At 53.4% G+C, this 24,587-nt stretch overlaps 1 protein-coding gene across 2 annotated transcripts, besides 3 other annotated features; it reads left to right on the top strand.

Annotated features, from left to right (window-relative positions):
• DUOX2 (dual oxidase 2) lies at positions 27-21,549 on the top strand. Of its 2 annotated transcripts, none has more exons than NM_001363711.2 (34): positions 27-226; positions 774-857; positions 1,123-1,212; positions 1,481-1,645; positions 2,244-2,431; positions 2,614-2,815; positions 2,922-3,088; positions 3,489-3,549; positions 3,675-3,771; positions 4,219-4,309; positions 4,573-4,675; positions 5,247-5,410; positions 5,977-6,152; positions 6,736-6,854; positions 7,230-7,367; positions 7,558-7,671; positions 7,872-8,074; positions 8,371-8,556; positions 9,834-10,059; positions 10,146-10,239; positions 12,210-12,406; positions 12,925-12,994; positions 13,361-13,444; positions 13,971-14,149; positions 14,307-14,537; positions 14,717-14,816; positions 16,141-16,190; positions 16,458-16,585; positions 16,808-16,961; positions 18,139-18,371; positions 18,604-18,762; positions 19,108-19,263; positions 19,508-19,636; positions 19,927-21,549. In NM_001363711.2, the coding sequence occupies exons 2-34, from the start codon at positions 788-790 to the stop codon at positions 20,047-20,049; spliced, it is 4,647 nt and encodes a 1,548-aa protein (NP_001350640.1). In that variant the 5' UTR covers positions 27-226; positions 774-787; the 3' UTR covers positions 20,050-21,549. The 2 variants fall into 2 exon arrangements, with proteins under 2 accessions (NP_001350640.1, NP_054799.4); NM_014080.5 differs by having other exon boundaries at positions 774-861; positions 1,127-1,212.
• Positions 1,255-1,790: an enhancer, noted in NCBI's record as "H3K4me1 hESC enhancer chr15:45404607-45405142 (GRCh37/hg19 assembly coordinates)". NCBI's record gives its function as "activates a minimal SCP1, AML or CMV promoter by ChIP-STARR-seq in naive H9 embryonic stem cells {active_cell/tissue: H9 hESC(naive)}" and the evidence as "EXISTENCE:reporter gene assay evidence [ECO:0000049][PMID:30033119]".
• Positions 2,633-3,459: an enhancer, noted in NCBI's record as "H3K27ac-H3K4me1 hESC enhancer chr15:45402938-45403764 (GRCh37/hg19 assembly coordinates)". NCBI's record gives its function as "activates a minimal SCP1, AML or CMV promoter by ChIP-STARR-seq in naive H9 embryonic stem cells {active_cell/tissue: H9 hESC(naive)}" and the evidence as "EXISTENCE:reporter gene assay evidence [ECO:0000049][PMID:30033119]".
• Positions 11,724-12,224: an enhancer, noted in NCBI's record as "H3K4me1 hESC enhancer chr15:45394173-45394673 (GRCh37/hg19 assembly coordinates)". NCBI's record gives its function as "activates a minimal SCP1, AML or CMV promoter by ChIP-STARR-seq in naive H9 embryonic stem cells {active_cell/tissue: H9 hESC(naive)}" and the evidence as "EXISTENCE:reporter gene assay evidence [ECO:0000049][PMID:30033119]".

Below are 24,587 nucleotides of genomic sequence, written 5' to 3'. Positions count from 1 at the left end.
AGGGTGAGCCCTAGGTCCAGATGCTCACACTGGCGCAGGTCTGTCCTGAGCCGACACCTGCACAGTGGCGAGACCAAGGACCCAGAGAGAAAGGTGAGAGTGCAGCCGGGGAGGCTGAGGATCGGCGGAGCTGGAAGAGTGAGGGTGAAGGCAAGAAGTAGAGCACAGAAGCAAAGATTTTAAGAGGAAAGAAGACATCTGAACCCAACACCACCCTAAACCACAGGTTAGACCAGAGTTTGGGATCTGACCCTAGCCCTCGCCCATCATGCACAGGCGTTCATTGCAGAAGGGGAGTTTATTGGGGAAGGGGGGATTCATTGTGGAAGGGTGCTGCAGTCCCTCACTCCCAGGTCAGTAACCTTTTTCCCTTCCCTGCCTCCTGGAGGAGAAGCGGAGCCTGACGGATCGGGGGCGGGTGGAGGTGAAACATTGGAGACATTGGGCACACCCTGGGAGGCTTGACCAGTCCTGCCCTGGACTGACATGCCCCAGAAGACTCCTGCCCAGTGGGTTCCTATGGTCGGGGGTTAACTCTCTGATGGGGTGGCGGATGGGGAACAGTGTCAATGCCTCCAGAGCTGCCAATTGTCCTGGAAAGAGTGGCGTTTGGATGAAGGTCCTCGGTGATGCTTCTAACAGCTACCTTCCAGAAGTGGAAACAGCTGGTGCTCCTCCTCCAGTACTAGCTGTAGGAACAAGAGGGGAGGCATAGAGGACGCCCTAACAGTGGCTTTCGCATACCACCTACCACCCCCACCCTCACCCCGCAGGCTGCAGGGTTGGCATGCTCCGTGCAAGACCAGAGGCACTGATGCTCCTGGGAGCTCTTCTGACTGGATCCCTGGGTCCATCGGGCAAGTATCAGGCTCCTCTAGCGGCGGGGTGTTCCCCAGGATCCCTGGGAGGTGGGGCGGGGAGAGGTGCGGCAAGCGGCTCCCTGAGACTGGAAGGTCATTTCGCCGTGCAGCTCAGCGGGATGGGAAACTTCCCAGTGCGGCCCGACACTTGGGTCCGGTTAGGGGCGCTCCGCGAGCTGGGGAAGGACTGGCCAAGGCCTTCGTTGCTCGGGAGGGGTAGCTGGGAGCGTAGTGCTGAGGAGGCCCTTCTCTGTGCCCACAGGCAGTCAGGACGCACTCTCACTGCCCTGGGAAGTGCAGCGCTATGACGGCTGGTTTAACAACCTGAGGCACCACGAGCGTGGTGCTGTTGGTGCGTTCTGGGGGCCCGGGCGTGCTGGGGCCGTGGCTCGCGAAGGGCCGGGGCGCGAAAGGCCCTGAGCGGGGAATCTGCGGGGAACACGCGCCCAGCAGCTCCGCTGCCTACACAGCGCAATCTTATGCGCTCCCGGGGCCAAGAGACCCTTGAGGGAAGGTTCTGTCAGTGAAGTGGGATGGGGGTTGAGGGAGGCTTAGGGAGAGGTTTGGGGGATCCTAGGGGATGGAGTGCTTAGACAGAGCCCCGCTCCCTGCCTCCGCAGGCTGCCGGTTGCAGCGCCGCGTACCAGCCAATTACGCCGACGGTGTGTATCAGGCTCTGGAGGAGCCGCAGCTGCCCAACCCGCGCCGGCTCAGCAACGCAGCCACGCGGGGCATAGCCGGCCTGCCGTCGCTCCACAACCGCACCGTACTGGGGGTCTTCTTTGGTGAGGGCAAAGGGGGAGACCAGTGGGGTTGATCTGGCGCTCTGCTCAGCCTGGGGGAGGGGCCAGATCCCGTCTGCGAGTCCACAGGAGACCCATCCGACTCCCAACCACTTCCTCTCTACGCAGCACTTCGAGACTGCCTTCATCTCGGAGAGATTTTGGGATGTTGATACAGAGATATTTGCTCTGTATCTAACCTTTCTCTTACGCCTTATTCCAACCTAGGGGTGTCACTGGACCCCCATTATAGCTCTTGGGAACTGAGCTCCCCAGCCACCGCTCTCCTCACCGTGTGTTTGTAACCATTTTACCTCCCCCTAGCCCAGAGGGAGGAGGACTGACTTGGGGTACCCCTACATAAATTATATCATTTTGATTCTCACAACAGCTTTATGAATTGAGTAGGAAGGGAACTCACTATAGTCTTACTTTGCAGATTAGAAAATTGAGGCTACCTGGGGCTAACGTGCAGAGCTGGTGGCGGAGCTGGCACTGGGACCTCTGTCTTTTGGCTCCTGAGGACACTTGGAGGCCGCCCTGGCCGTGGGGAGGGCGCAATACGGACGGTTTGTCACGTATTGGCGCCCCATGCCCGCAGGCTACCATGTTCTTTCCGACGTGGTGAGCGTGGAAACGCCCGGTTGCCCCGCCGAGTTCCTCAACATCCGCATCCCACCTGGAGACCCCGTGTTCGACCCCGACCAGCGCGGGGACGTGGTGCTGCCCTTCCAGAGGAGCCGCTGGGACCCCGAGACCGGACGGAGTCCCAGCAACCCCCGGGACCTGGTGAGGCGGGGAAGGCGGCGGGAAGGGACCGCACCCCAGCCAGGTGGGGCCTGGGCTTCGGGCCTGGCAGGGCCTGGAGGGGAGAGGCGCCCACTCCCCAGCCGCGGACACCCGCCGGGCCCCGGCCTTCCCTGGCCCGCCGCCGCCTCTCGACCCGGGCTCACCCGCCGCGTGCCCCGCAGGCCAACCAGGTGACGGGCTGGCTGGACGGCAGCGCCATCTATGGCTCCTCGCACTCCTGGAGCGACGCGCTGCGGAGCTTCTCGGGGGGACAGCTGGCGTCGGGGCCCGACCCCGCTTTCCCCCGAGACTCGCAGAACCCCCTGCTCATGTGGGCGGCGCCCGACCCCGCCACCGGGCAGAACGGGCCCCGGGGGCTGTACGGTGAGGCCACAGGGGCGGGACGGGGCCGGCTGGGGGTCTGCGAGTGTGGGCTCCCCCGATCACGCTACCGCTCGTCTCCTCCCCTGCGCCCCCACGTCGGATGCAGCCTTCGGGGCAGAGAGAGGGAACCGGGAACCCTTCCTGCAGGCGCTGGGCCTGCTCTGGTTCCGCTACCACAACCTGTGGGCGCAGAGGCTGGCCCGCCAGCACCCAGACTGGGAGGACGAGGAGCTGTTCCAGCACGCACGCAAGAGGGTCATCGCCACCTACCAGGTCAGCCGTCCGCGCCCCGCGACGTCCTCCCTTCCGCGTGCAAGCCCACGGGAGACTCCGCTGCCCCATGGAGCTCCCCATCTGTGGACAACCGCCACCCAGAAACCCCTCCCCAGACAGCCGAGGTCTAGGGAAGCCCCTGTAAATGATAGGGAGGCACGCGCTGTTTATAGGAGAAATCTGGCTGGTGATGATTATTTATCACCTCCCCAACCCCCACTCCCTCAAATCCCCTGGTTCCTTGTGGGGACAGGCCTCACACTGCTCCTGTCTGAGTTGCTTCTCCCATGATTGACCCTTCCTGGTCTCATCTCCACACGGAAGCCGTCCTTGGGCTCAGACCCTTCCAGGCCCCACACCATCCAACTTGTGCCTCCCCTCGCCCCTCTCTGCCCCTCAGAACATCGCTGTGTATGAGTGGCTGCCCAGCTTCCTGCAGAAAACACTCCCGGAGTATACAGGTGAGGGAGCGGGGAAGGAGGACACCTGTGCGGAGAATCCTGAGGGGAAGGAGACAGGTGCCTGTGATGGGAGGATGTGGAGGCAAGAAGCCTGTCTCCCCATCATCACCGTCTCCTTCCTGCAGGATACCGTCCTTTCCTAGACCCCAGCATCTCCCCGGAATTTGTGGTGGCCTCTGAGCAGTTCTTCTCTACCATGGTGCCCCCTGGTGTCTACATGAGGTGAGGGAGGGGTTGGCAGAGAGGGGCACCACACTAAGAAAGGTGCAGAATGAGCTGCCTTGGGGGCTGGGGCCTTTCACACTCCTTCGCAGTTTCACTAGAGAAGGGGAAGCAAAAATTTGGGGCCCTGAAACAGAACCCTGGGGTAAGATGTGTAGGCTTAGTAGGGAAATCTCTCCAGCTCTCCTAAGGGCTGAAATTTGGTGGCTGGGTGTAGGATTTGTCTAGCAGCTGGGTCATTCCCTTCCCTCCTCTCCCCACCCTACCTGGACTAGGAGCGCACTCTATCTTCAGTAAACGCACATCACCAAATCTCTGCCGTGTTCAAGGAAGTTCCTGGGCCACTGCTCAATCCTAGTGAACCCCCACTGAGTCCCTCAGCCCACTCAACCCCATCTTTGATTCTTCTCCAAATTCCCTCACCACATCCTTTGTTCTCAATTTCAGAAATGCCAGCTGTCATTTCCGGAAGGTCCTGAACAAGGGTTTTCAAAGCTCCCAAGCTCTCAGGGTCTGCAACAACTACTGGATTCGGGAGGTCAGACTGGGGTCAGGGTCAGGGGAAGATGGGTCAAGGTCAGTCTCTTCACACAGGCTGGGAAAAGCAACAATCCCAGTTCTTGAGTGTTGCTGCCCCAGGTTCATGGGAGATGAAGGGTAGAGGAAATTATCCGGGGACAACAGTTCAAGAGAGTCTGGGACTGGCCAAGGGCCCTTTGTCCTGGGGTACTAAAGTGGTCCAGGCTGAGAGAGACCGAGTTTTGGGTAGAGGCCTATCTTGAGTGCATTGTTTACTTCCAGAACCCCAATCTGAACAGTACCCAGGAGGTGAATGAGCTGCTGCTGGGAATGGCCTCCCAGATTTCGGAGTTGGAGGACAACATAGTGGTTGAAGATCTGAGGGGTGAGCTCAGAGCCAGAAGGGGTGGATGGTAAGGGACCAGGAAGCCTGAGGATCCCTCTGGGTTCATCAATAGCAGACCTAGGGCGCTCACGATGCAGGAACACAGATACAAACACAGACTTCAAGGAGCCATAAGAAGAAAATGAACTTTGAACTTTTTTTTTTTTTTTGCTTAATTTACACTTTTGTGTTGCTTTTATTTTAAATTAACTATGTCTGAGTATTGGGGAGGGGTGGTACCACAATCTCTTTGGTGCTTAATTAGGTCTCTAAAGGTTTTCATTCAGCCCTGTCTTGAAACTAGGGAGGCATAGGACAGGGAATTTACTGCTTGGTGACTAGAACAGTCTTGAGTCTTAGAGGAAGGGTCTTACTGGAAAAACTGGCTCTGATCACCCATGGTGACATTGGCCTTGCAGCAAGGCAAGGTCAGCATGGGCACAGATCTCATGTGGATCACTGGGGGTAGCCAGGAGGGAAGAACCGTAGTGCCAATAGTCAGATACAAGGCTGCAGGGCAAAAAAGGATGGAGAGGACAAAGCCCATAGTCTAGTCTTCTCTCCTCTTCAGATTACTGGCCTGGCCCTGGCAAATTCTCCCGTACAGACTATGTGGCCAGCAGCATCCAACGTGGCCGAGATATGGGGCTGCCCAGCTATAGCCAGGCCCTGCTGGCCTTTGGGCTGGACATCCCAAGGAACTGGAGTGATCTCAACCCTAATGTGGACCCCCAGGTCAGGAATAGTAATGATAATAATGGCAGCTAAAGCTTTCCTATGGCAATACTGTTCCAAACCCTTTACATATGTTGACTCATTTAATCTACATAATAATATTGTAAGGTATGTATAATCATTTTCCCCATTTTACTGATGACATAGTTGGTAAATCATAGAGGAGGGACTTAAATTCAGCCATCTGATTCCAGAATATATTCCTAACCACTGCATTGTACCATTCCTGCAGGGTGGCTTCTGGGTTGGGTGCCATTGTCCTGTTGCTGCAGGGTCCCACCCCAAGGGCTGTGTGCCCCTGAAGCTGCTAATCATTGAGGTCAGGCAGGCTGGTGATGGTCACAGGATATGGTCCTAGGGCACCTGACCGTGGTGTTACCGTGGGTAGGGACACACTGATCCTTCCACCAGACTTGTCCTGCCTGAGGGGGCTTGCCTAAGAAGAGGAAATCAGGCCTGAGCAGCAGCCAGGCAGCGGCTGAGGTTCTGTGCCCGAGGGATGGGGCAACAGTGGCTGCCCTCCGCAGCAAACATACGCTCACCCCTTATCTCCTGTGGTGCCCCAGGTGCTGGAGGCCACAGCTGCCCTGTACAACCAGGACCTATCCCAGCTAGAGCTGCTCCTTGGGGGGCTCCTGGAGAGCCATGGGGACCCTGGACCCCTGTTCAGTGCCATTGTCCTCGACCAGTTTGTACGGCTGCGGGATGGTGACCGCTACTGGTTTGAGAACACCAGGAATGGGTAAGGCTTGCCTGGGCCCCCACCTCAGACTGCTCCTCAGCCTGAGCCCCAGACCCTCTGTCTAGCCTTAGACAGCCCCTATGAGCCCTTGATTCCCAGTCAGCCCACCACACCCTTCCCAACCCCTCTGGGTCTCTCTTTTTTTCTTCTCTTCTCTTTTTCTTTTTCTTTTTCTTTTTTTTTTTTTTTTTTTTTTGAGGCAGAGTCTAGCTTTGTCACCCAGGCTGGAGTGCAGTGGCGTGATCTTGGCTCAATGCACCCTCTACCTCCCAGGTTCAAGTGATTCTCCTGCATCAGCCTCCCAAGTAGCTGGGATTACAGGCATGCACCAACATGCCCGGCTAATTTTTTTAAAAAATATTTTTAGTAGAGATGGGGTTTCACTATGCTGGTCAGGCTGGTCTCGAACTCCTGACCTCAAGTGATCCACTCGCCTTGGCCTCCCAAAGTGTTGGGATTACAGGCATGAGCCACTGCACCCAGCCCCTCTGGGTCTCTTTTCTCACCTGGGTCCTTGGGCCTGGGGTTGCTGGAGGCCTGCATCCCCTTCCCATCCCAGTGACTTCTACTTCCTCCAACTTAGGCTGTTCTCCAAGAAGGAGATTGAAGACATCCGAAATACCACCCTGCGGGACGTGCTGGTCGCTGTTATCAACATTGACCCCAGTGCCCTGCAGCCCAATGTCTTTGTCTGGCATAAAGGTGAGTGCCGTGGGAGAACACAAGTGAGTGACAGTGGCCAGAGAAGGATCAAGATTGAGGGTGCGGGGGAATCACTTGGTGCTGTCCAGGGAGCCAGGCACCTTCTGTGTTGGGCTAGGAGGCCTGCATTTGGCTGGCTCCCACAGCAGGGACCTCAACTAGCACACAAGCTACACCCTACAGTCAAGAAGGGGTGGATGGGGTAGATGCCAAGAGACAGGAAATGAATGGGGACTTTTTGAGGGAGACAGTTTCAGGGAGGTGGGCCTGGGGAAGACAGATGATACCTTGGTCCTTTATAGGATAGAGGGGAAAGAGGTCTGGCCACATAGCGGGATCCTCAGACTTTGAGGTCTTCCCTGCCCTCTCCCTCAGGTGCACCCTGCCCTCAACCTAAGCAGCTCACAACTGACGGCCTGCCCCAGTGTGCACCCCTGACTGTGCTTGACTTCTTTGAAGGCAGCAGCCCTGGTTTTGCCATCACCATCATTGCTCTCTGCTGCCTTCCCTTAGGTGAGCTCTTAGGCAGCCTCTCTGCAGACTGGCCCTGCCCCTCATTTCCTGCTGGCCTGAGGGGCTGGCTATTTGGTACCGTTTGAGACCAGGCTCAAGGAACCTCTGGAAGGGAGGGGCCATAGCCTAAGCCACAGTGGAGCTCTAGGTGAGGGGCTCCCTCCTCACTGTTCCTTCTGATCCACTTCAGTGAGTCTGCTTCTCTCTGGAGTGGTGGCCTATTTCCGGGGCCGAGAACACAAGAAGCTACAAAAGAAACTCAAAGAGAGCGTGAAGAAGGAAGCAGCCAAAGATGGAGTGCCAGGTGAGCAGGGGCTGGGCAGAGGAGGGAGGAGGGACGGAGGAGGGGAGAGACAGGAGTCTGGGAGAAAGAACCAAGTTACAGAGTGAGAGGAAAGCCAAGGCACCTTTAGGGCGCCTGCTCAGACTCACAGAGGAATTGACCTGAAGGCGGGGACCTGGGGACATCTGCTGAACTACCCGGCCCAATTATCCCTTCCCCAGCGATGGAGTGGCCAGGCCCCAAGGAGAGGAGCAGTCCCATCATCATCCAGCTGCTGTCAGACAGGTGTCTGCAGGTCCTGAACAGGCATCTCACTGTGCTCCGTGTGGTCCAGCTGCAGCCTCTGCAGCAGGTCAACCTCATCCTGTCCAACAACCGAGGATGCCGCACCCTGCTGCTCAAGATCCCTAAGGAGTATGACCTGGTATGGCTCGTCCTGCCTCCCCAGCCTGGGCTGCCCTCACACGACTCCATTATCACAAGCGAGGCCACCCTATCCTCAGCTACAGAGCTCAACTATGACAGCTGATGCTGGGGAGAGGGGCTCCTTTCAGAGGCCCCCAGACACAACCTGACCCCCTTCGTCCACACACCTGGCCCCAGCCTGGATGGATGGGGAGGAGTTTTCTCTCCTCCCCTCAACCCAAGATCCATTGAGGGGAGGCTGAAGCAGAAGGTCCAGCGAGCTCCCTGCGTCAGTGCCGCCTTCCTCCCACCCAGGTGCTGCTGTTTAGTTCTGAAGAGGAACGGGGCGCCTTTGTGCAGCAGCTATGGGACTTCTGCGTGCGCTGGGCTCTGGGCCTCCATGTGGCTGAGATGAGCGAGAAGGAGCTATTTAGGAAGGCTGTGACAAAGCAGCAGCGGGAACGCATCCTGGAGATCTTCTTCAGACACCTTTTTGCTCAGGTGCCATGACCTGTGCCTTTTGGAGATGGGTCCAGCCCCAGAAATGGAGGAAACCTGGGCTGCATAGAACGCCCCTGTGGGTGAACTAAGCTTCCGCTCTATGGCCTGGAGAGAAATAGCCTTGTTTGAATCCTGGCATTGCCACTTTACTTAGCTCTGTGACCTTAGGCAAGTCACATTATCACTGTTCTGTATCTCTGTTTCCTCATCTATAAAACAGTGATGAAAACTGTATCCATCCCATTGCATTGTTGTGAGGATTCGGTGAGATCGTCTACATGAGTGGTACACAGAGGTTGGCCTCTGGACCCGAGAGCATCAGCCTCACCTGGGAACATGTTAGAAATGCACCTACCCAGTTAGACTGAACCAGGAACTCTGTGGGTGGGGCCTGGCAATCTGTGTTTTAACAAGCTCCCCAGATGATTCAGATACACTCTAATGTTTGAAAAACATTGTTTTATGTACAGTGCTTATTGGCCCAAGTGCCAGGTATGTTGCAGGCATTTAACAAACGGTTGTGGCCAGGCGCAGTGGCTCATGCCTATAATCCCAGCACTTTGGGAGGCTGAGGCGGGCAGATCACCTAAGGTCAGGAGTTCGAGACTAGCATGGCCAACATGGTGAAACCCCATCTCTACTAAAAATACAAAAATTAGCTGGACGTGGTGGCTCACACCTGTAATCCCAGCTACTTGGGAGGCTGAGGCAGGAGAATCGCTTGAACCCGGGTGGCGGAGGTTGCAGTGAGCCAAGATCATGCCACTGCACTCCAGCCTGGGTGACAGAGCAAGACTCCATCTCAAAAAAACAAACAAAAAACAATAAATGGTTGTTACATGCGACTTTTAAACTTTTTGTGCAATGGGCAAATCATAGGCACATGGCAGCCTTATCTGAATTGGCAAGAGAGCACAGCCCCAGCCCCTTCCTGCCTGTCTACCACCATGTCTCTACATCTTCTGTCCCCAGTATAGGCTCTCTCACTTTCCATTCCCCTTAACTTCGCCCTTCCCCTTCCCTACCCCAGCACCATGCCCACTGCATGAAGTTCCCGGTTCTTGGGCCCAGGGAGAAATGGGCAGGCTGCTAGAGATTTGATTCCCCCGTCTATAGGACAACAGAGGCCCCAGTCAGTATATCTAAGGATCAGGAGAACCATCAGAGTTTAGCCTTTCTGATTTGGACTTTGGGGAGATATGAAGGGTCACTGAACTGCTTCCAGCATAGGCTTCACCTCCTTCTCTTTCCCTCCCTCTGCTGCTGCCCGAGTGCAGGTGCTGGACATCAACCAGGCCGACGCAGGGACCCTGCCCCTGGACTCCTCCCAGAAGGTGCGGGAGGCCCTGACCTGCGAGCTGAGCAGGGCCGAGTTTGCCGAGTCCCTGGGCCTCAAGCCCCAGGACATGTTTGTGGAGTCCATGTTCTCTCTGGCTGACAAGGATGGCAATGGCTACCTGTCCTTCCGAGAGTTCCTGGACATCCTGGTGGTCTTCATGAAAGGTAGGGGGCTGGGAGGTGGCAGGCTATCCAAGAATCCAGGGGTCTTTCAGCAAGGAGATGACCTGCATTCCCTTTTTTCTTCCCAGGCTCCCCAGAGGATAAGTCCCGTCTAATGTTTACCATGTATGACCTGGATGAGAATGGCTTCCTCTCCAAGGACGAATTCTTCACCATGATGCGGTATGGGGTGTGCCTTTCTAATCCTGAGACTTCCTGGTGTGTTTCAAACAGGAAAACAGGTCCAGTCAGAGGAGGGCTGGCAAAGAGGCTCTGTGGTCATCTGTGCTGAGAGGTGGCCTAAACACTACATCCTAAACTCTCAGAGCATCCACCTTCAAATATTTACCTGACTGGCTCCTGCCTCTGGGAGAGTCTCTGTCTGGACTGTCAACACCAGCCAGAAAAGCCTCCCTAGTTAAAAAACGAAAAAAAAAAACCCAACACCAATATGGCCAACGACAAAAATCCACTAATCCCTTTTGGATGCCCTTGGATCTTTGTGAACTATTTTACGGCACGCCCAACACCGTGCTCTACCCAGTGAAACAGTGAATGGATGACCTTGGTTGCTGCTCCGCTATTCATCACCATGATAGTCAGGAAGAGAAACGTGGAAGGCTTCTCCATATTCCAACCATTCTTTCTTCCTGCATCTTAAGCCCTTTCTGGTTTTGTTGTGCCGGTAAAAAAAAACAGCTTTGTGCTTCTCATTCCTGAAGACAATGAATGCGTCAGTAACACAGCTCCCCTCCATGCCATAAGGGCAGGGCTTGTTCCCTGTTGAATCCAGCTTCTCTACACTGTGATTGGCACAGGGCAGGCATTTCATACATAACTAACTGAGTAAGACAAAATGAAATAAGTGAGCAAATGAATACAAAGTATAGATGTAACAGCCCACATTATTTCAATTTTTCTATCCTGTTAAGCCTTAACATTGCTTTAAGCATTCCCCTTAACTGCTACATTCCTCATATGGTCCAGATACCCCAACTGGACAAGGGCTTCTGAAAGGGCAAAGCTATTGCAGTCTGTACCTCACTGGGTATGTCACTGCAGGCCCAGCCCGAGGTGAGGCTCAAGGGAATCTAGGAGAGGGTCCCTGCCTCCAAGGGCTGAGTTCCCACCTTCTTTTTTTGGTTTGTTTGTTTGTTTGTTTTGAGACGGAGTCACTCTGTCACCCAGGCTGGAGTGCAGTGCCACGATCTCGGCTCACTGCAACCTCCACTGCCCAGGTTCAAGTGATTCTCCTGCCTCAGCCTCCCAAGTAGCTGGAATTACAGGCATGTGCCACCACGTCCAGCTAATTTTTGTATTTTTAGTAGAGATGGGGTTTCACCATGTTGGCCAGGCTAGTCTCGAACTCCTGACCTCAGGGGATCAGCCCGCCTCAGCCTCCTAAAGTGCTAGGGTTACAGGCGTGAGCCACCACACCTGGTGAATTCCCACCTTCTTGTCCTGTAACTCAGCGTGTATCTTGCTTACTGTCGGTGGGACGATGTTTTTAATGTGATGGTTGTGCTTGCTGTGTTTTATGGGCCCAGCATGGCACAGCATTGCTGCCGGACCTACACAAACTTGCATAGTCTGTCTTTTCTGTCCCGAGGCACAACCTATGAATAGAGCTTGGCTACTGCAGGTGCCACTGTGGGTGCTATCAGGTTGGGCATGGAGACGCTCCCGCCTGTGCCCCGGGGTGTTGGCACAAGGAAGCAGCAGCATTGCAGCTAGTTCCCCTCCCTGGCACCTGGCTGCCTGGTGCCCCCACTGGACTATGAAAGGGGGAATCCAGGGGTGATGTGGGAGGCATCAACAGAAGAGAGTGGACAGAGAGCCTGCCACGAGAGAGGGCCATGCACACCCTGGACACCCCTGCACTCAGTGGACTATCTTCTCAGTTGTAGATGCCCCCTGTTTGAGGGCTGCTTTCTCTGATTGGTCAAGGTCACTTTCAATTCTGTTCTGCCTTTTGAGTCCATGGCTACCCCACCCAGCTTAGTGTCAGCGGCAGGCTGGATGAGCACCTTCTCAGTGCCATTTCCCGGGTCACTGGTAACCACATTAGATAATCTGGGGCCTGCCCCACCCTGCACCTACCCAAGCCTGACCTTGCTGGGTGACAGGCTGCTGTGTCTCTGGTCCTCCTCCAGATCCTTCATCGAGATCTCCAACAACTGCCTGTCCAAGGCCCAGCTGGCCGAGGTGGTGGAGTCTATGTTCCGGGAGTCGGGATTCCAGGACAAGGAGGAGCTGACATGGGAGGATTTTCACTTCATGCTGCGGGACCATGACAGCGAGCTCCGCTTCACGCAGCTCTGTGTCAAAGGTGGAGGTGGAGGTGGAAATGGTGAGTGTGTGAGGAATGGTTGGCGTCAGGGAGGGGGGGCGTGTCCTCAAAATGAGAGTTCCTGGTGGGCAGGACCCAGGTCTTACTCTTTTCTGAGTCCTTGGTACCTAGTATAGAACCAAGCACATGTAATTGGGATGGCACATGTAGGTGTGCAAGTTGCCTAATGCACAATGATACCCACTGAGGTCAAGGAGCAGGTTGAAATCTATCCTACACACTGCTCAAAGCCACCGGCATTGCTCTAAGATGTATCTGGCCAGAGGAAGAGGCATTGTTTCTTTTACACAAAGGACCTGCAGGGTTGCATCCACCTAAGAGGATGTCCCCTTTCTTGTGCAAAGTTGCCACATTGTCTGCCCTGTGTACAGTGAGTGCTTAGTCTAGGGAATGAGGGAAACAGGACTCGAGTCAGAGATCTGGACATGACTTTCCCAGAAGGGAGGAGGGCACAGTCTCCCATCCTACCCCACTGCCCTTGTGGGGAAGCCAGTCCTGCCTCTTGTTCTTTTCTCTAGGTATTAGAGATATCTTTAAACAAAACATCAGCTGTCGAGTCTCGTTCATCACTCGGACACCTGGGGAGCGGTGAGCAGGAATGGGGCTCTGGCAGGTTGGCCTGGCTGAGCCCCCTGCAGAGAAATGAAGGGAGTAGGACTGGCTGATCAGCCCCTGGTAAAATCAGGCATTTGCCCTTTGAAAGTAGCTCATGGTAGCACAAACATTCCAGCTGCCTCTCTCACCCTATGCTGCTCGGATGCTTGGCTCTCTCCCTGCTGCTCCAGGCCAGAATCATTCTACAAAACAAATCATGAGATCCTATTAATTCATTTTGTGCCTTGCCCCCTGCCTGGTACCAGGAGCCACTCCCTACCTCTACCCCATGCTCTGCCCAGGGAGTTGTTCTCCTGGCTGCAAAGACAAGGGGAGAACAGCCCCATTTCTTTTTCTCAGCTCCCACCCCCAGGGACTGGGGCCCCCTGCCCCAGAAGCCCCAGAGCTGGGAGGCCCTGGACTGAAGAAGAGGTTTGGCAAAAAGTGAGTGTCTCCCAAATCCCTGGGCCCAAAGAGACATGGAGAGAAGTCTTAGGGTCCCTAGGCCCCACCCACATATCCTTGACATATAAGCGACCATCCTGAGTCTCATTCCATTTGTTCCTGACCTGACTGAGAGGTTACAGTGTTGAATGACTTTTCATCCTCTTCCAGCCTCTGCACCCCATTCTTCAGGCAAGGGTCCTGGCTCAACAGGATGATAGTAAGGGGTCTCCTGGCTCCTGCCTGCTTTGGGCACAGCCTTGAGGCCTGTGCTGGGATCAGGAAGAAAGAAGGATAAAACAGACAGGAGGAGGGGGAGTAGCAGGGAGACAGTGAGTGGGTGGATGGAGCAAAGACAGAAGTAAAGGGTTGGAGGAGGAAGAAGCCCCCAGATTGCTTTTTTCCATTCATCTGTTGTGGCCCATCCTGATGCCTGCCAGATCCCCAGGTCACCTTTCATGGAGTGGCATTAAGGGAAGGCCAGAGGGCCCTTACCACACTGCTGCCCTGCCTCCCCTTGCTATAGGGCAGCAGTGCCCACTCCCCGGCTGTACACAGAGGCGCTGCAAGAGAAGATGCAGCGAGGCTTCCTAGCCCAAAAGCTGCAGCAGTACAAGCGCTTCGTGGAGAACTACCGGAGGCACATCGTGTGTGTGGCAATCTTCTCGGCCATCTGTGTTGGCGTGTTTGCAGATCGTGCTTACTGTAAGAGTTCCAGGCTGTGGGCAGTGGGTAGGGAGCAGGCTCTGACCCTTGGAGAGGAGTGGAAAGCCCTCTGATCCTAAGAGTCTGCATGGGAGAGCCCAGGGCTCGGGACCTTGGCCACCTGTGCCAAGCTGATGTAACCTCACTCCGGCCCCAGACTATGGCTTTGCCTCGCCACCCTCGGACATTGCACAGACCACCCTCGTGGGCATCATCCTGTCACGAGGCACGGCGGCCAGCGTCTCCTTCATGTTCTCTTATATCTTGCTCACCATGTGCCGCAACCTCATAACCTTCCTGCGAGAGACTTTCCTCAACCGCTATGTGCCTTTTGATGCCGCAGTGGACTTCCACCGCTGGATCGCCATGGCTGCTGTTGTCCTGGCCAGTACGTGACTCCCAGGCTTCTTCCTCTTTGCTGCAGCACCCTGGGTCTAGTTGGGGGAAACAGTGGGGAGATGGAACTCCTTATACCTCCATCTCTCCTCCCTATGCCTCCTCTCTCCCTCAGGATCGGAGGTAGAGTCTGTCCTGGTTGGCATCTCTAACAGGGTCTGTCTCTTCCAGTTTTGCACAGTGCTGGCCACGCAGTCAATGTCTACATCTTCTCAGTCAGCCCACTCAGCCTGCTGGCCTGCATATTCCCCAACGTCTTTGTGAATGATGGGTCAGTTCTGGGGATGGTTTCTCCTGGGACTCATAGGGTGGGCCCAAGGGTATAATAGAAAAAGAAATAGGCAGGCCGGGCGCGGTGGCTCACGCCTGTAATCCCAGCACTTTGGGAGGCCGAGGTGGGCGGATCACGAGGTCAGGAGATCGAGACCATCCTGGCTAACACGGTGAAACCCCGTCTCTACTAAAAATACAAAAAATTAGCCGGGCGTGGTGGTGGGCGCCTGTAATCCCAGCTACTCGGGAGGCTGAGGCAGGAGAATGGCATGAACCCAAGAGGCGGAGCTTGCAGTGAGCCGGGATAGCGCCACTGCAGTCCAGCTTGGGCGAAAGAGTGAGACTCCGTCTCAAAAAAAAAAAAAAAGAAAGAAATAGGCAGGGCACAATGGCTCACACCTGTAAGCCCAACACTTTGGAAGTCTGAGGCAGGAGGATTGCTTGAGGCCAGGAGTTCCAGACAAGCCTGAACAACAAAGTGAGACTCCATCTGTACAAAAAGTAAAAAGATTAGCGGGGCATTGTGGTACACATCTGTAGTCCCAGCTATTCAGGAGGCTGAGGCAGGAGGATTGCTTGAGCCCAGGAGTTTTAGGTTGCAGTGAGCCATGATCAGTACCACTGCATTCCAGCCTGGGCGACAGAGCAAGACTCTGTCTTGAAAAAAAAAAAAAGGAAAGAAATAGACAGTCCCAGACACTCAGCAAGAAGCTCAGTGCTAAGCTAGTCCCCTGGGGGAAGCTGAAAGGTAAATTTCTTGCCTTCAAGAAGGAAGCTGGCTGTGATTGGCCAGGAAAGGTGTTTGGGAGATGAAGTCAGAGACTCTTTCTCATAGATACCTGACACACAGCTTGCCATCTCTGCCTTCTATCCATTCACTGGACAGACATTTATGCAGCATGTCCCATGTGTCTACCCAGATGCCAGAGTAGGGATGTCAAGATACATGCAGTCATTCAACAACTACTTACCGAGATTTGCTGTGTGCCTTGTATTGTTCTAAGCCTAGGGATAGAGCAGTGAATGAAACAAAAATCCCTGCCCTCATGGAGCTTACAGAATAATGAACCAGGGACTCAAGGAAGCAGGGGTCAACCACAGTAAGAGAGTTCAGGATAACACAGAAGGAAAAATTGCTGAGTACAGAGGGTGGAACCATGGAAGCCTGGGTGCCAAGTTCCTTGGAGGGATCCCTGGCCAACTGGGTGGAGGCCCCATACCCTCAGCAGTCAGGGCCAGCAGGAAAGGAGTCATGCTGTGTTGTGACAGTGCTGGAGCCCCTCCTGCCCCAGTCAGAGGCTCAAGGTGCCTTTGCCCCCCAGGTCCAAGCTTCCCCAGAAGTTCTATTGGTGGTTCTTCCAGACCGTCCCAGGTAGGAAACGTGGGACCTGGGGGTTCTGTCTGAGGACTTCTGCTTTTGTCTCCATCTCTCTGTGAATACTCACTTGTCTATACTGGCCATGGGGTCTGTTTCTAGCCTTCAGGACAAGCCCCAGCTCAAATCCCTCCAGGCAGGCTTTTCTGGGGGCCCCGGAGGGATGAGAGAGGAAGGAGGGAAGGATAGGGGAATGTGCTGTTGTCTTTTCAGCCCAAGCTGAAGTCCTGAGACTACTCACTGGCCCTGTCTTCCTGCCCCCAGGTATGACAGGTGTGCTTCTGCTCCTGGTCCTGGCCATCATGTATGTCTTCGCCTCCCACCACTTCCGCCGCCGCAGCTTCCGGGGCTTCTGGCTGACCCACCACCTCTACATCCTGCTCTATGCCCTGGTGAGGGACTTCCCTGGGCCAGCCCATGGAGCAGGGAGCTCAGGATGGGACAGGAAGGTGAAAGAGGGAGAATTGGATCCAAGATCTCAGAATGAGACTTTGAGATTTAAGACCCCAGACCTCAGCCCTATCTCCCCGGCACAGGCCTAGTGCCTGGGCAAGAGGGGATGCCGGGCAGGGGCCTGGCTGGGCCTGAGTTGTACTAACTGGCCGTGTCTCCAGCTCATCATCCATGGCAGCTATGCTCTGATCCAGCTGCCCACTTTCCACATCTACTTCCTGGTCCCGGCAATCATCTATGGAGGTGACAAGCTGGTGAGCCTGAGCCGGAAGAAGGTGGAGATCAGCGTGGTGAAGGCGGAGCTGCTGCCCTCAGGTATCAGGCCCAGCCTGACCTGGGTCGGGAGCGACAGAGGCCAAATCTTCAGACATGGGGAGACAGTTCACCAGGTCTCCTGACCCCATCACTGCCTCTGACTCTGTCTCCAAAAACAACAACAACAAAAAACCACTCTCGGGGGTTCCTGAAGGTTTCCTGATAGAAGTAGACCCAGAAAGGGCTGTGCTTAGCTCCCAGGAGACTTGCAGATGGTGAGAAGTGACCTGAGAAGAGGTGGCTGAACGTGCATACAGAGGGGTTTGAGGATGGGAAAGGGCCCCACATGTGTGGCCTGGGTGCAGGGGAAGTGCAGGGCAGGAAGCCACATATGCCTGTCCCATTCCTTCTCTCAGAGACAGGCAAATGCCCAGATTGCCAGTCTGGGTTGTTGAGAGTCAGTGCTGGCCAAAGTCGGGATTGGTATCATCATAGAGGGTGGCAAAAGATGATTTTATGTATCTCAGGACTGTCTAACCTTCAGGACTCATGTTGTAAAAAAATTAATCTCATTGCAATGTTATTTCAATTGAGATTACTTAAGGACAAAATCTCAGAGTGGTGTTAGTATGCCTTTCTACTCTCCAGCACTTGCTGATCTCCTTTTTCAATGAAGAGATCAGGCCTGAGGCTCAGCTATGGTACAAACAGTATCCAGCTAAAATTTGGTAACAAAATATGTTGTCTTCTATGTAGGACACATGATACTGGTTTTCCACTTACCTTAGCAATAAAGTTCCCTGCCAAGATTAATTGAATTGGAAAAGTTAGTCAATTTAAAGAAAAGTGTTAGATAAATGATAGTGCAGGAGGTGTGTAGAAAGGTAACCCTCAAATGGAGGTCTGGTAGCCACTGAGATGGTCCCTGGTGAGCCTGAGTCCCTTTACCCAGCAGGTTGGTATTCAAGGCAGTGGTATGAGGCCTGGGCCTTCCATGGGAAGAGGGAGTAGAGAGGAGGAGAGGGGCTGGAACAGGGGAGCAGAGAAACCCAGCTCTTGCATTACCTGGGAAACAGAGAAGGGGACCCTCCTACTCCCAGCCCCAGGAGCCCCGCTTGCTCAGACCATGTGACTACTCCCCAGGCCTCAGGGGTGTGAAGAGGACAGGTGCCTATCAGTCCTCAGGTACCAGGAGCAGGCCTTCTCATCTGTGCTTTTCCCTGTCTATGACCTCCAGGAGTGACCTACCTGCAATTCCAGAGGCCCCAAGGCTTTGAGTACAAGTCAGGACAGTGGGTGCGGATCGCCTGCCTGGCTCTGGGGACCACCGAGTACCACCCCTTCACACTGACCTCCGCGCCCCATGAGGACACACTCAGCCTGCACATCCGGGCAGTGGGGCCCTGGACCACTCGCCTCAGGGAGATCTACTCATCCCCAAAGGGCAATGGCTGTGCTGGATACCCAAAGGTGCCCGTCACTGGGAACCCTGCTTCCGGGCCTCTGGCACTGGCAGAGGATCTCTGCCCTTCCCTATCCTGAGACTAGAAGCTCCAGCCGTCCCAAAGCCAGCCTGGGAGAGGACCGGGGTGCCTCAGAAAAGACTAGGATGTTCTGTATCCTCCCTCTGCCTGTGTCTCCGTTTCTGGTCTCAGAGCTGGGGCAGGGTCAGGCTCATTTCATCTCCCCCCTCTCTTGGCAGCTGTACCTTGATGGACCGTTTGGAGAGGGCCATCAGGAGTGGCATAAATTTGAGGTGTCAGTGTTGGTGGGAGGGGGCATTGGGGTCACCCCCTTTGCCTCCATCCTCAAAGACCTGGTCTTCAAGTCATCCTTGGGCAGCCAAATGCTGTGTAAGAAGGTGAGCATCCCTCCCTCATTCATCAAATGGGGCATAGGTGGCCGAATTGTGACCCGCATCAAGTGGTGGAGCATGAGAGAAAGCTCCTGGCTCCAGGAACTGAGTCTGAAGGGGTCATTCTTACCCAGTGGTTGAGATGCCAAACTTGGAGGGAGGTTGGTGGTATAGCCAGAAGGGCCTCTGCTGGGACCTGTCAGTTGGAAGCCTGGGATCAGGCTGGTGGGTCCTGCCACAGCTTTGGTGTCTGCAGGTGGTCTGGGGCTTCCCAGCCTCTCAGGTGAAGGCACCTGGGATCTAGGGAGGCTGAACTGAGCTGGGTCCTGATCTCCAGCCCTGTGTCCCCAGATCTACTTCATCTGGGTGACACGGACCCAGCGTCAGTTTGAGTGGCTGGCTGACATCATCCAAGAGGTGGAGGAGAACGACCACCAGGACCTGGTGTCTGTGCACATTTATGTCACCCAGCTGGCTGAGAAGTTCGACCTCAGGACCACCATGCTAGTATGTCAGGGCCCGCCAGGCAGGGCAACTTGGCGGGCAGATGGATTGGCAGCGTAAGGCAGGATGGCCAGGGCAGGTGGGTGGACGGCCAGGCTGAGCTGGCAGGAGGCACAGAGCTGATGGCCTGATCCTCAGCCTCCAGCTCCCTCCCCTCCCCATTCTCTGTCTCTTGGGCTATGTGGGCTGGCTCGGGCTGAGTGCTGGCCCTGACTGTCTTTGGTCTGACCTGCCCCTGTGCCCCCAGTACATCTGCGAGCGGCACTTCCAGAAAGTGCTGAACCGGAGTCTGTTCACGGGCCTGCGCTCCATCACCCACTTTGGCCGTCCCCCCTTCGAGCCCTTCTTCAACTCCCTGCAGGAGGTCCACCCACAGGTCAGTCCCACTCCCTCCCACCCTGGGACTCTGGCCTTCTCCTGCCAGGACATCCTGGCCCTGAAGCACCCTGCCACTCTGTTCTGAGCAGAGAACTCCACCCGATTGCCTGGCCCCAGGATGAGGTCAGCTGTTAAAGGGGGACTTCCACCCCCTCCACGTTAAGCCTCCTCCTCAAGGCCTGGGCTTGAAGCCTTAGTCATTCCAGCCAGGCTCAGGAAGCAGCTTTTCCCAAGGAGAGTGAGCACCTTTAGGCTGCAGGCCCCTCTCTCTCTCCAATCTCCTGACAGGTGCGCAAGATCGGGGTGTTCAGCTGCGGCCCTCCAGGAATGACCAAGAATGTAGAGAAGGCCTGTCAGCTCGTCAACAGGCAGGACCGAGCCCACTTCATGCACCACTATGAGAACTTCTGAGCCTGTCCTCCCTGGCTGCTGCTTCCAGTATCCTGCCTTCTCTTCTGTGCACCTAAGTTGCCCAGCCCTGCTGGCAATCTCTCCATCAGAATCCACCTTAGGCCTCAGCTGGAGGGCTGCAGAGCCCCTCCCAATATTGGGAGAATATTGACCCAGACAATTATACAAATGAGAAAAGGCAGGAGACTATGTTCTACAATTGCAGTGCATGATGATTATAAGTCCACCTGTTTATCAACGGCACCATTCCTGCAGCCCTCCAGACTTCCTGCCCTTAGCAAGTGCGCAACCAGTCAGGATCTCCCAAAGAAGATAAAGACCACTCCTCACCCCAGCTCAAGCCATGGCAGGCGTGGCAAGCAAAGTGGGGAGGAGACAGTCCCTGCTTGTGACAAGTGTGGAGGTGAAAAGGTACAATAGTGCTTGTCTCCGATAGCTCCCCACATCTCTAATTGACTTCCACAAAATCGATGCGTTGCTTTGGTATTTGCTTGGACTGACATTTGAGGGAGGAGGAGGCTGGGATCCTCTGGCTGAGAATCTCCTCAGAGCCCAGTGCAGAAGCTGTGATGCTTAGAACCTGGACAGCCCGACTGCCTCAACTCTGTCTCCAGGTCTATTCCCTCCAGCTCCAAAAGGAGCAGCCCTACTTCTACCCCTTCCCGTCCCCAAAGTGTCAGCAACTTTGAGGAGGGCACCAGGAAACAAAGATGCCTCCCCAGCCCTGATATTCTTGATGTCACCAGTGATACCCACTGCCCTGACCCCTGGGCAGGCCCCTCTCTGCATCTACTGGAGTGGTCCCTGGGCTCTGGGGCTGAAGGATTCCAGCCTCTCTGCCAGATATTCAGTACTCGATCTCAATTCCCCTCTTCCACAAGAGTTGGGTGACCAGCTGTCCTAGTTTGCCCAGGACTCTCCCTGTTTTAGCACTGAAAGTCTCTTGCCCCAGGAAACCCCATCAGTCCCAGGCAGATTGGGACAGCTGGTCACCTTACGCAAGAGCCAGGCTGAAACATCCCCTCCATACTCAGCTCTTTAACTTTTCTTTTCCTTTTTCATCGGGCTCTTTCCTAAAAAGCTGAGCTGTAAAATATTTTACATCGAGGTATAATAAATAATCATGTACATGTTTTACCACCACCCAGGTCAAGACATAGAATGTTTCAACATTTCCATCACCCCAGAAACTCCCCTTGTACCCCCTTCCACTTCGTCTCCCCTAGCTCCTAGAAGCAACCACTGATGTGATTTCTACCAAATCCAGTTTTGGTCCTACTAAATATACTCTTTTGAGACTGGCCTCTTTTACTCACCATAATGCCTTTGTAATTCATCCATGCTGTTGTGTGTATCAGCAGTTTGTTCCTTTTCATTGCTGAGTAGTATTCTATTGTAGAGATGTACCACAGTTTGTTTATTCTTCTGTTGATGGACGTTTGGGTTGTTTCTAATTTTGAATGATTATAAATAAAAATTCTGTGAGTGTTCTTGTACCTATGTTTTGGTGGCCATCATGCACTCATTTCTCTTGAGTATGTATCTATGAGTGGAATTGCTGGGTCATACAGTTATCCAGCCAGTAGGACCTGTGGAGGGAGAGTTTCAGACCAGGTTTGTCTTCTCACTGGCCCCACCCTACCTCTTCAGCCAGGCCAAATGCCTCTGGTTCCCAACCCCCTCTGTTGAAGGTATCTCTCTGACAAGGCTGGAAGAGCACCAATCAGAAGTCAAGAGACCTGGATTCTAGTGCCCACTTTATCTGCAAATAGCTATGGAGGGAAATCCCTTAACTCCTCTGGGCCTCTTCCTCATTTATTCAAATGTCTGTGAGAGTATTGGGAAGTCAAATAACAATATTGGCCCAGACAATTACACAGATGAGAAAAGGCAGGAGACTGTGTTCCATAGTTGCGGTGCGTGATGATTATGAGTTCACCTATTTATCAACAGCATCATTCCTGCAGTCCTCCAGCCTTCCTGCCCTTAGTAAGTGCACAACCAGTCAGTAATCCCAAACTCCAGCCCCTTCAGTCTCAGCCTTAGCTTTACTCCCAAATCTGACCCTGCAGTTCCTCCCTATGCCTTTCTAAAAACTGTGCAAAGTATTTATTCATTCCATCCTAATTCACCCATCCTTGCTAGACTGGAGAATGGCATTAACATGGCTATCAAGATTATCCATAAAACTCTCTGCTTAGCCCTGACTTCCCTGCCATGCTGGGGCCTAAGTGAGGATCTCCCAAAGACTTTGTCATCACTGAAGATGTATCCCCAGCCAACTCTTGCCCAAACACCGGGCAATGCCAAGTGTATGTCCAGCTGGATAGAGGGACATGCTGCCATTATCTTGAGTCACTTCAGATGGCACTCAGCCTGCCTGGCCTCAGTCCTGACTCCACACGCCAGTCAGGCTGTAGATGTCAGCCCTAAGCATGTATTCATGTGATCTGGCTGCTCTGTCTAACCCTGCACAGAGTCCCAGAAAGCCACTGAATGACAGGGATAAAAGTCAAGGACTTGCAGAGAGGTTAAAAGTGTCTTCAGCCTCAACACTTGCCTAGATACTAACCTGGTCCTACCCTTCCTGGGGCTTTATGACCAACTCTTTGAGAAGTGGGCTAGAAGGCAGGATCAGGCAGCTATTGGGTGATACCTTGGGTTCAGAAAGCGAGGTCATTGCATAAGTGTGTGTCGGGGAGGGATTAGACTGAAAAATGTGCAAACGAGGGAGGCTACAAAAATGTCCCAGAGAAAGATGGAAGATGACTCAGAGGGAATTCGTGGAAATGATCACATAAACCGTGTAAAGGAAAGCAAATCTTCCCCGCTCTGGGTTACAGAGATGTTTGTCTCAGGCTTTGGGACAAAGCCCAACCCAAACCCTGCCTCCCAGGAATAGGGATGAGGATGAGAATGAAACAGGGATGGACAAGGAATCGGGTGGGATTGGATGGTAATGGGACTGTGGATGGAGAAGAGGAAGACAAGCATGAGATTGGATGGAAGGGCTTTGGGGCCAGGGGGAAAAGGAGTGGATGAGGACAGGAGGGGCTGAAGCTGAGCTCTGTAGGAGAGGAATGAAGGCTGGATCTTTGCCCCTTTTTCCAACTTTCCAGCCCCAACTTCTGCCTCAAGTGAAAGAGGAGAACATTGCTAAGATGTGGCATAATTCCTGTCTACTTACTAAGAATTTTCATTTTGTTTGGTTTTGTTTATACATGTATACACATACTGTATTTACGTACACATTATGACTGAATCATAGTTCATATACTGTCCTGACATTAACTTTTTTGCTTAGAAATAGGTCTAAATATATTTTCTTTTTTTGAAGGGGAGAGTATCCATCACCTCAAACATTCATCCTTTGTGTTACAAACAATCCAATTATACTTTTTAAGTTATTTTTAAACGTACAATTAAATTATTTTTTACTATAGTCTCTCTGCTGTGGTAGCAAATACTATGTCTTATTCATTCTTTCATTTTTGTACCCATGAACAACCCCCACTTCTCCCAACACCCTCAACTCTGGTAACCATTGTTCTATTCTCTATCTCTATGAGTCCAGTTGTTTTGATTTTTAGATCCCACAAATAAGTGAGAACACGCAACGTTTGGCTTTCTGTGCTTGGCTTATTTCACTGAACACAGTACTCTCCAGGTCCATCCATATTGTTGCAAATGACAGGATCTCATTCTTTTTTATGACTTAATAGCTCTCCACTGTGATATGTACCATTTTTTCTTTATCCACTCATCTGTTTATGGACATTTAGCTTGCTTCCAAATCTTGGCTATTGTGAACAGTGCTGCAATAAACATGGGAGTGCAGATATCTCCTTATTTATTAAGAATTTTTGAGTAAGAGGAGTCAATCCAGCATAGTACTTAAGAGTGAGGGCTCTTAAGTCAAATTGGGTTTGAGTCCTAGCTGGGTGACCTTGAGAAAACAAAGAAAACTCTCAGGGCCTCAGTTTGCTCCTTCATAAAATGGGGATAACATGATTACCTGCTCCATAGGGTTTGGGAAGATCTAATAATATAATTCAATTCAACAAATATGTGTTGAGCATCTATTATGTCCCGGGCACAGGCACAGCTTCTAGGGAACTTAAATGTTAGTGGAAGGAAACAGACAATGAACAAGATAGAAGGAAGAGGAAGAGAAGAAGGAGGTCACAGATCACAAGTGCTTTGAAGATAATAAAACTATGAAATGATAGTGACTGACTAAGGGGAACTCTTTAGATAGGATGATTAAAGAAAGCCCTCTAAGATGACGACAACAAAACTATGATGATTAATGCATACAGAGCTTGCTGTGTGCCCAGTGCTATCATAAGGACTTGAAATGCATTAACTCACTTAATCCTTAGAACAGCCACAATCCCCATTTTACAGATAAGGGACACTGAAGCACGAAGAGGCTTAAACAACTTGCTCAAAGTTATCTAGAATGTAAGTGAGAAGACAGACTAGGTTTTTCTTTTTATAGAGACAGGGTCTCGCTCTGCCACCTAGGCTGGAGCGCA

The sequence above is a fragment of the Homo sapiens genome, chromosome 15 (assembly GCF_000001405.40).
Source record: "Homo sapiens chromosome 15, GRCh38.p14 Primary Assembly".
Taxonomy (NCBI): domain Eukaryota; kingdom Metazoa; phylum Chordata; class Mammalia; order Primates; family Hominidae; genus Homo; species Homo sapiens.
The sequence above is the reverse complement of the archived record's forward strand: the minus strand, read 5'-3'. Positions and strand labels throughout refer to the sequence as shown.